This window comes from Homo sapiens, chromosome X, assembly GCF_000001405.40.
Source record: "Homo sapiens chromosome X, GRCh38.p14 Primary Assembly".
Lineage (NCBI taxonomy): Eukaryota > Metazoa > Chordata > Mammalia > Primates > Hominidae > Homo > Homo sapiens.
In genome coordinates, this window is record NC_000023.11 from 119398814 (window position 1) to 119413408 (window position 14595).

At 47.8% G+C, this 14595-nt stretch overlaps 1 protein-coding gene across 11 annotated transcripts in view, besides 1 other annotated feature; it reads left to right on the forward strand.

Moving 5' to 3' along the window:
• Positions 387–1046: a silencer, noted in NCBI's record as "silent region_20957". NCBI's record gives its function as "represses an Ori minimal core promoter by ATAC-STARR-seq in GM12878 lymphoblastoid cells {active_cell/tissue: GM12878}" and the evidence as "EXISTENCE:reporter gene assay evidence [ECO:0000049][PMID:35858748]".
• The window catches only part of SLC25A43 (solute carrier family 25 member 43), a 55143-nt gene continuing 41070 nt past the window's right edge, over positions 523–14595 (forward strand). For all 11 annotated transcript variants that reach the window (XR_938546.2, XR_001755662.2, XR_938547.2 and 8 more), the window contains exons 1-3: positions 523–865; positions 7647–7888; positions 11377–11549. Coding sequence is in view for 6 of the 11 variants with exons in the window: in NM_145305.3 (NP_660348.2) it covers positions 591–865; positions 7647–7888; positions 11377–11549 (690 nt within the window). In the remaining 5 variants the exon portion in view is untranslated. The remainder of the gene's footprint in view (positions 866–7646; positions 7889–11376; positions 11550–14595) is intronic.

Here is a 14595-nt window from a genome sequence, read left to right on the forward strand (position 1 = left end):
TACTTAGGGCCGTTTTGAGGATTACATGAGAACGTCTGTAAAGCCCAGTACTTGACAAGTGCCTGAGAGATAGCAACTGTGGTTGTTAGAATTTTTTACCTTCTGCACTGGGAAACCATCAAGGCTTTTTGGTTAGGCAGGAAAAAAAAATGGGTTGGAGGCAAGAGGAGGAGGAGGGAAGCGCCAGGGGAGGAAGACAGAGAAGTGGCACGTGAAAGGGAGAAAAGGGGCAAACCAGAGGAGAGGCAGGGAGGGGCGGCGGGGGCGCACTGAACATTTAGGAAGCAAGATGTCTAGCAGGCTGGGCCTTGAGAGAACAGTAACTGTTTCGCAACTGAAAGTCGCTACTCGAGCCTTGCCAACTGGGGAGACTATGCCCATGATATCCGCGGCCTCGGACCCCGGACCCTCCAGGCCCTCGCGCCCCACCCCCGACCAGCCTCGGGCCAGGCTAGGGCGTAGACGGGGCTTCCCGTCCCTCACGCGGGCCCGCCCCATGCCGGGCGGGGCCTGGGGCCCGCCACCTCCGCCCGTGGCCGGAGAGCCCCAGGCCCGAGCCACGCGGTCTTCCGGGCCCGGGTCGGGGCTCGATGGCTACGTGGAGGCGGGACGGCCGACTGACAGGCGGCCAAAGGCTGCTGTGCGCTGGGCTGGCGGGGACGCTCAGCCTCAGCCTCACCGCGCCCCTGGAGCTCGCCACCGTGCTGGCCCAGGTTGGCGTCGTGCGAGGCCACGCCCGGGGACCGTGGGCCACAGGGCACCGGGTGTGGCGGGCAGAGGGGCTCCGGGCCCTGTGGAAGGGGAACGCGGTGGCGTGCCTGCGCCTCTTCCCCTGCAGCGCCGTGCAGCTCGCCGCCTACCGCAAGTAAGAGCCGGGCGGGGCCGGGGAACCGGGAGACCGGACGGGGGTGGGGTGGGGGAGCCGCGGCCCGACGCCGCCCTGCTGCCTGGACTCGGGGCCCTGGAGTAGGGACGGCCCCCTTGTCGATCACCTGGGGACCCCTCGGGGCGGTGGGCCACCTCTATGGCCCCCAGAGTGCAGCCCCAATGCTTTTCACGTTCTCTTGGGGTTACCGCCCTGCAAGATGCAGTTTTGTGGTCCGCAGCCCTGGTCCGAGAGGCTTTCCGGATTGGACCGGGCGAGGAGGTGGAATGCAGCAAAGGATTTGGAGGAAAGGAATGAAAAGCTCTCCAGAGAGATGAGTCCTAACCATTTCCACCGTCCTCCAATTTGGAAACTTTTGCTTAGGCTGGCTTAGGAAGAGAGAGACCCTTTTAAAGGTGTTTTTGTCTGTGTGACCCAAGCCCCGAGAAGAAAGTGCTTGGTGTGGGGAAAGGACCCGATCCATCGATACGAAAAGGCCGCAGATTTTTGCCCACACATCTCCCCAACTTAAATGAAGCTTGACTTCAGGCTCCGACAGAGGCTGCAGCTTCCCCTCCCCAAGCTGAGAACGGCCCCCTCAGCCTACCGCTTCACCCCACTGGCCTCATTTATTTGGGCCTTTTCCACCTTCTCCCACATCAACAGCTGCTCCTTAGGAAAAGATCTAAAGGTGTAAATGCAGCCTTAAAGCTTCCACCGAGCTCAGAGGTACCTGCATTTGAACTGGAAACCAAGCCTGAAAGAATGAATTGGTAGTGATGGCATTTCAGGAAGCAGAGATGTTTCTGTATTGGGGGGACGGTCCCTGTGTTCCTCATTCAGTGGGCACAGTGGCATCTTTGATATCGCCTTGGCTCTGAATTAGACAAACAGCCCACATTTGGGAGAGTCGGTCTTGACCGCATAGTTTAGTCTTGGCGGCTAATAGTCAAAGGATTTTGCCTTGACACTGTCACTCACCTGGGAGGCCAGAGGTGGAAGGCTCACCTGGCAGCCGACAAGCCGAACGGAATCATCCTTATTACCTAGGCCTCTAGGCCAGTACTCATTTTGCCTCTGCCTGGAAATAGAGTTCCCTTCTCTTCCTCTGCAGAGGGACTCATGGGTGGGACCATGACATTTAGTTAAGGCCCTTTTTCCTCCCCACCTCTGCTTGCCCTCATCAACATCTGGCCTGCAGTCTGTAAACAGTTCTCCTCTGAGTCTTAATGACTCAGTTTCTCCCCCACTTCACCCTCTTCTCTACAAAGTAGTGTGGAAATCTTCCTTTGGATGGGATAAAATATGTCCAGAGGGGTGGGGGGCAGAACTTCAAAGGCTGGTTTAAGTATTGTGGCTCTTCTGCTAAGCACCTAGTATATGCACATTAGATTTTTTAAGCTCCTGCCTCCTGCCCTGTAAGGTCCATAGGACAGGAAGCATTGTGCCTGTTTTACAGATGCAGAATTGGGCTCAGAGTGATGACACCTCTTGTCAGTGACCGAGCTGAGCTCCACTACCTGGCCTTCTGACTCCAAATCTCATAGTCTTTCTGTTACATCATGCTGCCTCCCTGCATCCATTTGACACTAATTTAGTCAGGCTACATTAAGTCCCCACTGTGTGCACGATGCTGAGGACAATGCCAGGATGGAAGGGGCATGGTCCCTGTGCCCCAGGAGCTTACAGAGTAATAGAAGAGTAAGACTAATATGTCCATGACCATAACACACAAGGTAGCATGTGATTGTCATGGATAATGTGCTCTAGAAATGTACCCTTCTGATGAGCGATGAGGAGGAGAAAATGTGAAGACTTCATAGAGGAGAAAAAAATTTGAGTTTGGCATTGGGAGAATGAGGAGTCTGCTGGGCAGAGATGGAGAGAAAGATACTGCAGTTGATGTCAGCAAATGCACAGAGGTGGGAAGGCAAGCAGCACAACAGGAAGTCCAACCAGAAAAGCAGGTTGGAATGAGATATTAGAGGGTTGGATTAAGGGATTTGGACTTGACTTGGTATCCAAGGGTAGCTGTGGGAGGTTTTTGTGGGGGGTGGGGGGAGGTGTGTTGTGATTAAAGCAATTCAATGGAAATGATCGTCACATCGTGGCAGAGTAAGATGACTAGAGAGGAGGAAGAGTGGAGACAGCAGGGCCAGTTAGGAACCTGTTGCACTAGTCCACATAGCAGCTGAGGGCACCGGCAATAGGTGACCATGGGAGCAGAGAGGAGGAGATGTCTGGGAGAACGAGAACAGAGACTTACCTGGGCTAGGTTTGCTAGGAATTTTTTTTCCCCTACAGGATTATTTTCTTTCTGAAAACTAAAAGGAAGTATTTTGGTGAATGGCAAGGCATAGTTGGAAAGCAAAGTGTTTGATTAATCGCGATGCCATCCTTCCTACATCAACATGATACTCTTGATTCATCATTATACTGATTCATTTCTACTCTTTTCTGACCATGAATTTGCAAAACAGTTGGCTGGGGGCCTGTGATCATGGGTTTGAACAAAACATAAACATCCAGAATGTTCAGGGAATGGGGTAGTTAAGTGACTTGTCCACAAATGCAATTAATGGAAGAGCTGGAACTTGAAGCCAAGTCTTCTGGCTCCTTAGTTCAGGTCTCTGTCTACCATTGCACAGCAGAAATATCTGCTTAGTTGGATTGACGATCAAGAGTCCACTCAGTAGTCTGTTGGGAGCTAGGTTATTGTAATGGGTGGCTTTCAGATGTATCAAATAGAAGACCCCCCCGCCCTGGAACTTCACAACCGCTTGTCTATCTTATCTAATAAACGTTAGTTTGGGTCCCTGCAGCTCTGAAATTGTTCATAACCAACACTATTTCTTTATTGAATAAGCACTTCATGAGCTTATGTTTGGCTGCACTGGCTGCCAACCTGTTAGGTTGAAGTATTGGCAGTTATAATTACACATATCCAGGGTGTGTGTTGTATCTGTGCTGGCTGAAAGGAAGGGGTTGCTGCAATTCACCAGTGTATCCAGTCTCACTGGAAAAAGCTTCTGTGCATGTATGTGTGGGGGTGGGAGGAAGAACAGAAAAGGGAACAGTGCCGCCCTAGCAAATCAAAAGTTTAAGATGCATGGACTGAGATGACATCATTGGCGGATTATCAGGGTTGCCTGCCCTGACTCTGAGATTCTAAGGGGAACAATTGATAGGACTTATCTCTGTATCAGATGGGAGAAGTCTGCGAAAAAAGGACTTCCTATGGTTCTTCTTTTTAATTGTGTATATTTGATATTGAGACTCTATAAAAGAAACTGATATAAAATACGGCTCCTCTTCCTAGTTCATCAAGTCATTCAGTGAATTAAGGGCCTGTTTCCTCTCCGCTTGCCCCTACCAGTCATTTCCTTGTCAGAAGTGTTGAACTCCCTTAGGCTCTATGCTGAGGACTAACACAGGGTCTGATACATTGTAGACCTTCAATAAATGAGTAGTGAATTAACTATGCCCTAGAAGTGACCAAGTGGGATGGGGAATAAGAGTGGGACAAGGAGAATGAATGGTATTTCTTTGGGCATTTCAAACTCCACCTTCTAGGTGGTTCCAGCTTGCTGCAGACCGCCCCTCCAGTCAAAAATTTCTTTTTTTTTTTTTGGAAGAAGTATTGCTCTGTCGCCCAAGTTGGAGTGCAGTGACGCAATCTCGGCTCACTGCAACCTCCACCTCCCGGGTTCAAGCGATTCTCCTGCCTCAGCCTTCCGAGTAGCTGGGATTACAGGTGCACGCCACCATGCCTGGCTAATTTTTGTATTTTCAGTAGAGACGGGGTTTCACTATGTTGACCAGGCTGGTCTCGAATTCCTGACCTCGTGATCCACCTGCCTTGGCCTTCCAAAGTGCTGGGATTACAGGCGTGAGCCACCACGCCCAGCCCCAGTCAAAAATTTCTACTTCCTCTGTTTCCCCTGTCCTTTCTGAGGTCCCCCTCCAACTTGACTGGCCAGGGTATAGAAGAGGGAGGAACGAGGAAGTGGGCAGGCAGGCAGTACAACTGAGGCAGATAGTCTGTTGGTGAATGCCACCTGTTTGAGAAAAACCTCTGTCAAACTTGGTTTTTCCTCTGCTCTCACACCACAACAACAACCCTCAACACAGAAGACTTCTGTGACCAAATGAGTGTGGGGAACCCCACACTCTGATAAATGGACACCAACTAGGTGTCCTCTGATTCAGTTCTGACACTGTCTACCTGGACATAATGTCAGACCAAGCCACAGGTTAAGGGCTTGGTCCCCAAGAATGGCCCCCAACCAGACACTAGTCACAAGTCCAGGCCTCCAGAACTTTTTTTTTTTTTTTTTTAAGACTGAGTCTCGCTCTGTGACCCGGGCTGGAGTGCAGTGCGTGATCTCGGCTCACTGCAACCTCTGCTTCCCGGATTCAAACTATTCTGCTGCCTCAGCCTCCTGAGTAACTGGGATTACAGGCGCCCGCCACCATGCCCAGCTAATTTTTGTAATTTTTTTACTAAAGAGAAGGTTTTGCCATGTTGGCCAGGCTGGTCTCGAACTCCTGACCTCAAGTGATCTGCCTGCCTCGGCCTCCCAAAGTGCTGGGATTACAGGCATGAGACGCCATGCCTAGCCAGGCCTCCAGAACTTCTGACCAACCAGCTTCAAGTTGGGGTTCCCACGACCCCCTCTTTGGGTTCGATTAATTTGCTAGTGCGGCTCACAGAACTCAGGGAAATAGTTAATGTTTACCAGTTAACTACAGAGGATACCACAAAGGATACAGAGAAGAGATGGGCAGGGTGAGGTAAGGGGCAGGGGGTGTGGAGCTTCCATGCCCTCCCTGGGCACGCCACCCTTCAGGAACCTCCACATGTTCAGCCATCCAGAAGGTTCCCAAACCCTGTCCTCTCGGGTTTTTATGGAAGATTTGTTACAGAGGCATGATTGACAACCATGTAGAAATGTGACTGGATGAAAAGCACATGATCTAAACCCAGCAAGGCCTGTCTGTTCAGACTTTTCTTGGCCTCTATGCAGCGTTCCTTTCTCTAGGGCAGAGGTGTCCAATCTTTTGGTTTCCCTGGGTCACACTGGAAGAAGAATTGTCGGGCCACACATAAAATACAATAACACTAACGATAGCTGATGAGCTAAAAAAAAAAAAATTGCAAAAAAATCTCATAATGTTTTAAGAAAGTTTGCAAATTGGTGTTGGGCCACATTCAAAGCCATCCCGGGCCACATGCGGCCTGTGGGCTGTGGGTTGGACAAGTTTGCTCTAGGGTATGGGGCAGGACCCTCTCTGGGATGAGGATCTTTTAACCCACAATCAGATTAGAGTCCTACCTTGGGCAGGTAAAAGGAGGGCAGGAGAAGGTCAAAGAGAGAAAGATTCTGTTTCCTGAGACCTAAAGTGCCCCAACATTATAACAAGGACTAGGGAAGTTAGGAGCCAGGAACCATGGGTGAAAACCAATGTATGTATCATAGCACCACATCACCTTTACTTCCCTGTATGTTTAAAAGCAGCTGATTAACTCAAATGACTGTTTCAGTTAATGCGGCTAAGGTAGGTTGACAAAATGAAGTCAAGACTCCTACAGCTTGAAGATGTTTTTAATCAGTGAGTGTTTACTTGAAAGCAAAAGAGCTAGCCTAGAACCCCTTAAATGCTTTCACCTGAATGCCCACTCTTATTTCTCATGCAGCAGCCCCTGGCCTATGGGCAACTGAAAGAACAGGAAATGCACCTCCTCACTGGAGGTTTGAAGGCTAAGGAACTGGGGATGCTCTCATTTTAAAAAGATAGGCCGGGCACAGTGGCTCACACCTGTAATCCCGGCACTTTGAGAGGCTGAGGCGGGCAGATCACTTGAGCCCAGGAGTTTGAGACCAGGCTAGCCAACATGGCGAAACCCTATCTCTACAAAAAAAAAAAAAAAAAAAAAAAAAATAGCCAGGCATGGTGGCGCACATCTGTAGTTTCAGCTACTCAGGAGGCTGAGGTGGGAGGATCTCTTGAGCCTGGGAGGTGGATGTTGCAGTGAGCCCAGATCATGCCACTGTACTTCTGCGTGGGCGATAGAGTGGCCACCGCACCCGGCCCAGAACTGGGCACTTTGGGAGGCCGAGCGGGGTGGATCACCTGAGGTCAGGAGTTCGAGACCAGTCTGGCCAACATGGTGAAACTCCGTCTCTACTAAAACTACAAAAATTAGCTGGGCATGGTGGCGTGCGCCTGTTGTCCCGGCTACTTGTGAGGCTGAGGCATGAGAATTGCTTGAACCTGGGGAACGGAAGTTGAAGTGAGCCGAGATCGTGCCACTGCACTCCAGCCTGGCCAACAAAGTGAGACTCTGCCTCAAAAAAAAAAAAACGTAATTACTGAGATGCTCGAAGTTATCATTTGAAGAAATTTTGTTCCTTTTTAAGTTTCAACAGAACTGAAAGACTGCACTCCAGTTGGTATTTACCAGGTACTTCTGTGCATTTACACCCCACAGGCAAGCCAGTGTTGACAATTATGTAGATAAAAGTAGAAAATGCTTTAAGTGGGAAGGACTTGGGATAGATGTAAATTAAGAAAGTTAGGCATCTCTTATAGCCAACTAGCATCATATAAATATAGAAAAATGTAAATGTATTATTCATGAATGCTTATATAGTACTATAGTAACTTTTCACTTTGTAAAGTACTTTGAAATGCTGGAAAATATTTCAAGAACTAGTGGAGAGAACTCTAGCACAATCCATAGTTGATTTCTCTGGCCTTTCCCCCTATTTTCTCCCAGATTTGTTGTGCTGTTCACAGATGACCTGGGCCACATTTCCCAGTGGAGCTCCATCATGGCTGGGAGTCTCGCAGGCATGGTTTCCACCATTGTAACATATCCTACAGACCTCATCAAAACCCGGTTGATCATGCAGAACATACTGGAACCATCGTACAGGGGGCTCCTCCATGCTTTTTCTACTATTTACCAACAGGAAGGGTTCCTTGCCCTTTATCGAGGGGTTTCCCTCACTGTTGTAGGTAAGATGGACCTTTTCACCTTGTCCAAGAAAAGGCTATGTTCTCTGAAATTACAAATGTATTGTATACCTTTGTGAGCCACTAAATCAGTTTTACTGAGATCAAGGTTATATGGATTCAACCTACATAGAGGCAATTAGCTTCATTCTATTCCATAGCCATACACTCCACTCCTAAACTTTGGCCAGTTACATCCCCGGGAGGGGAGTAGACCAGAAAGTGGAGGTGACTCAGCAAACTGGTAAGAATGCAATTCTAACCACTCTCCATCTGACTGCAGAAGGAGTATTCAGTGTACATACACATTGATATGCCATGAGGGCAACTAGGGTAGCAACTGTGTCTTCTGGGGTCTTTGTAACCTTTGCCAGAGCTACACATTTATGGCCCAATTGCAAAATCCAGTAGACTTTTTCCCTTTATCTGAACTTGGTTGCAGCATTTGATAAGGTTGACCACCCCTTCTTCTGGAAACTTGGCTTCCAGGACCCCTCCAAGTCCTGGGTGTCTTCCCATCTCTCTGGCAGCTCTTTCTTATCTGACTTATCCGGCCCATCTGGGTCGTCTGATACTGCCAGCCCCTACATGTTGCTCTTCCCCTGGGCTCCTTCCTTAGCTTTCTTTTTACCCTCCCCTTTAGCTTGCTTCTCATCCTCCAAACCCTCCCTAGGTGGCCTCATCTATGCTAGTGGCTTAAGCAAGCGTCAGTGTATTCTGTGACCCTTATTCTCTACCTCTTTAGTAACAATGGCCAACTTTTGGGGGGAAGTACTTACCATGTTCTGGGTACTGGGCCAAATGCATTGCATGCGCTTTCTCATGAGGCCTTATTTTACAGATGAGGAGATAGATGCTTCAGGAAGCTAAGTGACTTGCCCAAGTCCACATAGATAGAAAGCAGGAGAAACTAGCAATAGAACTCCAGAGCCCTCTGTTAGCCCCTGACTGACACCAATTCCCAATGGTAGTATGAGTCCCTGCTGTTGGACACCTTCACCTCCATGCTCCCTAGGCACATCAAATTCAAGATTAACCCTGATGTCCTCGTTGGTCTCAAACTAGCTCTTCCTCCTGTGTTCCCTAATGAATGAGACTACCTTCCTTTCACCCCGTGGCCCAAGCCAGAAAAAAAAGCCTAGGGATCACTTCAACTTCTCCTCTCACTCCACCCCCACTTGAATCACCAAGTCCCGTCGATTTGACTCATCCTCTTTCCCACAGGTCCTTACAACTCAGACTCTCAGGGTCTCCCACAGACTCTGGCTCCTACCTGCTTCCACTCTTGGTATCTCCTGCCCCAGTCTTCCCCGTGCACTGCTGCCCGGCTGAGGTGATCTCTCCACGTGCAATTTCATCGTTTCACGGCCCTCATTTCACTGCTCTCCTTAAAAAGTATTCAGCGACTCCTGAGCTACAGGAGAAAGCCCAAATTCCTTAGGACATTCTAGATCCTTCAGACCTGGCCCCTGCCAGTTTGTCCTACCTCATCTCCTGCCATACCTCCACCTGCATTCATGCTCCAGCCCTTCAGAAAAACTTGGATTTCCTGGAAATACCACTCCCTTTATACATGCTATTCCCTTTGCCTTTCCACTCTGTCAAAGTCTGATGAACTCCTATTTATTCCTCAAGACCCAGTTCAAAAGTTCTCTCTTTCATCAAGTCCCTCCTGACTCCCCCAGGCAAAATTAATCCCTTTGATCCTTGTGTACCTAATGCATTTCATATAGCCCCCCTGTTGTGGCACACATCAGGGGTGTTATACTGACTTTGCCCTGGCTGTCTGTTCTCCTCGATGATGAGCATCTCCAGAAATTAGCCCGCTCCTCTTTCGATTCCCAGCACCTGACATAGGGCCTGGCACATAACCTAAGCTTTCCAGACATTTTCTGAATGAAGGTAAATGGAAGGTTGGTGAGCCAATTAAATAAACATTACATTTTTCTAAAGATAAGCAATTTCACTTGTATTATCCCCTATTTTAAATTTCATTTTGAGGGAGAAATTTAGTCCCTCTGTAAACTAAAGATGGCTCCTAAAGGTTCTGGAAGTTTGTGAAAGTGCCACCTACTATATTACTTACTCACCATCTCAGTTCTTAGAAAGGTGAGGAAGCCACACAGTGTAGGGTGCCCACTGGGCCATGATATGACCATGTCATTCCCAAAGGTGAAGTCAGGTGACCTCCCTCACCATCGAGAGTCTCTCACTTTCCAGTTTTCATAAAATGTTTCCTTCTCAGCTAGAGATCAGTCCCTCCTGTCCTCCAAAACATAATGAGGTGCTGCCCACTGGCTTTTTTTACTTGAGTGATTTTTTCCCCGAACATTAAAAAAAAGCTTCAAACATCTAGAAAAATTAAAAGAAATCTAGAGTATACATCCATGGACCATCTAGATGCTACAATTAACATTTTGCTATTCATCCCTCCAGCCATTCATCAGTCCATTTTTATTTTATTTATTTATTTATTTATTTATTTATTTATTTATTTTTTGAGACAGAATCTTGCTCTGTCACCCAGGCTGGAGTGCAGTGGTGCAATCTCGGCTCACTGCAACGTCTGCCTCCCAGGTTCAAGCGATTCTCGTGCCTCAGCCTCCCAAGTAGCTGAGATTACAGGCACGCACCTCCACGCCCAGTTACTTTTTGTATTTTTAGTAGAGATGGAGTTTCCGTTTTAGTAGAGATGGAGTTTAGTAGAGACGAGGTCAGGCTGGTCTCGAACCCCTGACTTCAAGTGATCCGCCCACCTCGGCCTCCCAAAGTGCTGGGATTACAGGCGTGAGTTACTGTACTCAGCCAGCCCACCTTTTTTTTTTTTTTAATGATTTCAGTGTAACTTGCAAATATCAATACACTTCACCCCTAAACCCTTCAACATGTGTGTCATTAACTAGAGTTCAATATTTGTGTATGGTTCTTTTTTTTGAGATGGAGTTTCTCTCTTGTCACCCATGCTGGGGTGCCGTGGTGCGATCTCAGCTCACTGCAACCTCTGCCTCCTGGGTTCAAGTGATTCTTCTGTCTCAGTCTCCCAAGTAGCTGGGATTACAGGTGCCCAACGCCACACCCAGTTACTTTTTGTATTTTTAGTAGAGATGGGGTTTCACCATGTTGGCCAGGCTGGTCTCAAACTCCTGACCTCAGGTGATCCTCCCGCCTTGGCCTCCCAAAGTGCTGGGATTACAGGCATGAGCCACCACGCCCAGCCGTATGGTTGTTTTTTAAAGTACAATTTACATCCAGTAAAGTGGACAAACCTTTAGTGAACCATTTGATGCATTTTGACAAATGACACAACCCCTACCAAAATATAGCACATTATCGCACTCAAGAAAGTTCCCTCATGCTCCTTGGGTTGGAGGGATTTTAGCAACCCCAGAGCCCCTCCTGTTTTCTTTCCCCGGAATCCCCCCAGGAATTTATGTTCTCAAGCCAGTGTTTTCCCAAGACAGCAGCAGCTTCTCCCTGGCCTTGTTTTGCAGGTGCTCTCCCGTTCTCTGCTGGCTCCCTTCTTGTTTACATGAACCTGGAGAAAATCTGGAACGGACCCCGAGATCAGTTCTCTCTCCCACAGAACTTTGCTAATGTCTGTCTGGCTGCTGCAGTGACCCAGACCCTCTCCTTTCCCTTTGAGACCGTGAAGAGAAAGATGCAGGTGAGGAGTTATCAGAGTGGGGTAGGGGGTGGAATGCTTTGTAGTGTTTGTGGTCGGGTAATAACAGCAAAGAACACTGACCCCAAGTGATGCCAGGTTTCCAAGGAGCTTCTGACTGCTCATAAATACTGTGCAAACCCCCACTCTGTGGCATTTCTGCTGCTAACCTCAGAGCTGTTGGCTTGAGCCCCGGCTGCCTCCTCATTCCCATCCTCTGTTTTTTGGTCTTTTAAGAAGCCTCCAGGCTAGGGGCGGTGATTCACGCCTGTAATCCCAGCACTTTGGGAGGGCGGAGGCGGGTGGATCACTTGAGGTCAGGAGTCCAAGACCAGCCTGGCCAACATGGTGAAACCCCGCCTCTACTAAACAAACAAAAATTAGCTGGGCGTGGTGGCAGGCGCCTGTAATCCCAGCCACTCAGAAGGCTGAGGCAGGAGGATCACTTGAACTTGAGAGGCAGAGGTTGCAGTGAGCTGAGATCGCGCCATTGCACTCCAGCCTGGGTGACACAGAAAGACTATGTCTCAAAAAAAAGAAAGAAAAATAAGAAAGAAAGAAAAAAAAGAAGCCTCCAGATGAGGCTTCTCTTTTCTTTCCTGACTTCCTGATTATATCACTTGTGGCTCTCCTTCCTCCAAGACCAGCAGAGAGTAGAATATGAAATGCAGCCTGCTAATGCTCCCTGTCCTTGCTGCCTCCACAGCAAGGATGCCACTCTTGGTTTCCTCACTGTGCCTTACCTCAGTGAAGCAGACTGGATAGGACCAACATAAGCTAGGAACTGTAGCTAACAAGGGTCCAGCATCCCTGACTCCCTCGCTGAGGAAGGAACTGCATTTAAAATGTGGCAGCATCAGGCCGGGCACGGTGGCTCATGCCTGTAATCCCAGCACTTTGGGAGGCCGAGGTGGGCGGATCCCCTGAGGTCGGGAGTTCGAGACCAGCCTGACCAACATGGAGAAACCCTGTCTCTACTAAAAATACAAAATTAGCTGGTTGTGGTGGCACATGCCTGTAATCCCAGCTACTCGAGAGGCTAAGGCAGGAGAATCACTTGAACCCGGGAGGCAGAGGTTGCAGTGAGCCAAGATTGCACCATTGCACTCCAGCCTGGGCAACAAGAGCAAAACTCTGTCTCAAAAAAAAAAAAAAAAAATGAGGCGGCATCTTAGTGAGACCACTGAGGCAAAATCCTAGAATCAGAAGTTCCAAAGTGAGTAATTGTCTTAGCCTAGAATAAGCCAATTTTGATCAAAGAAAAATCAGACTAGTTCAAATAAGGTTGGGTGGGTAACAGTTATATCTGTACAGTGGGGGCAGGCCCAGAATCCTAGCAGGGCTGAGGTGCTGTATCTTCTCTTAGCCCTGCTCAGGCCCTTAAAATTCAAAAATAGCTAATGCATGCTGGACTTAATACCCAGGTGATGGGTTGATAGGTGCAGCAAACCACCATGGCACATGTTCACCTACGTAACAAACCTGCACATCCTGCACGTGTACCACAGAACTAAAAATAAAAATTTTTAAAAAAATTCCACTTCCATAGGCTAGGCTGTCTCCATGGCCTCTTCTGGGCAAACCCTGATTTATACAAGCAATATATTCCTGAAGAACTCTATAGAAATTAATTTGGGGTCAGCTGAATCCAAGTTTAAATGAGCAGTCCCAGCCAAGTTTGGTTTTCCCCTGTGACTCTAACTTGTCCTCGCTTGCTCAATGTCCCTCCCCGCTCCCGCTTTCCCTCTGTAGTAGTCCCGGCTGCCCTGGGCCATCGCTTACCTCAGCACTAAACAGCCTGAAGGTGCTTATCAAAGCTGCCACTCCACTCCCTGAAACTTCATCTGTCTGGGTTGCATTCCTTTCCTGTCCTTGTCCAAACAGATAATTGTCGCATCATTGTAATGGTAGTATAGGTGCAAAATTTTTCTATTCGTTGGTAAGAAGTCTTTATATATTAAAGATATTAACCCTTTGTCATACATTTCACACAATTTTTCCAGTTTGACATTTGGTGTTTTTTTTTTTTTTGAGAGACAGAGTCTCACTCTGACACCCAGGCTGGAGTGCAGTGGCACAATCTCAGCTCACTGCAACCTCCTCCTCCTGGGTTTAAGCGATTCTTCTGCCTCAGCTTCCCAAGAGCTGGGACTACAGGCATGTGCCACTACACCCAGCTAATTTTTGTATTTTTGGTAGAGATGGGGTTTCACTATATGTTGACCAGGCTGGTCTCGAACTCCTGAGCTCAAGAGATCCACCCGCCTCAGCCTCCCAAAGTGCTGGGATTATAGGCATGAGCCACTGGGCCCAGCCAACATTTGGCTTCTAGTGCTATTTATGTGTTGTTGGTGGTGGTGCTTTGTTGTACATATTTGTAGAATTTTATCTAATTATATCTATTACTTTTTTGTTTGTTTGTTTCTGACTTTGCTTTTCTGCTTAAATGTAAAGTCTGCTTAGTGCATGCTTATCTTTTTTTTTTAAGTATTTCTAATTTTAAAAATAATGCACATTTGGAAGGCCAAGATGGGAGGATCACTTGAGCCCAGTAGTTTGAGACCAGCCTTAGCAACATAGCGAGACCTTGTCTCTACTAAAAATAAAAAATTACCTGGGCATGGTGGTGTGTACCTGTGGTCCCAGCTACTTGGGAGACTGAAGCAGGAGGATTACTTGGGCCCAAGAGGTCGAGGTCACAGTGAGCTATAATCCTGCCACCGCATTCCAGCCTGGGTGACAGAGAGAGACCCTGTCTCAAAGAAAAAAAAAAGTAATGCACATATACTTTAAAATGGTTAAAATGGTTCATTTTATGTATATTTGACCACAATGAAAAAAAAGTAATACACATAAGTTGTAGAAAATTTGGGACATACAGAAAAGTGCAAAAAGGAAAATAAATTACCCATAGCCCAACACCCATGGATTATAATGATTAATAGTTTTCCTTCTATGGACCTTCATATATATACATAAACACACTCACACACATATAAAGATATATAAGGTTATTTCTTTTACAAAATTGTGTTCACACTGTATATAA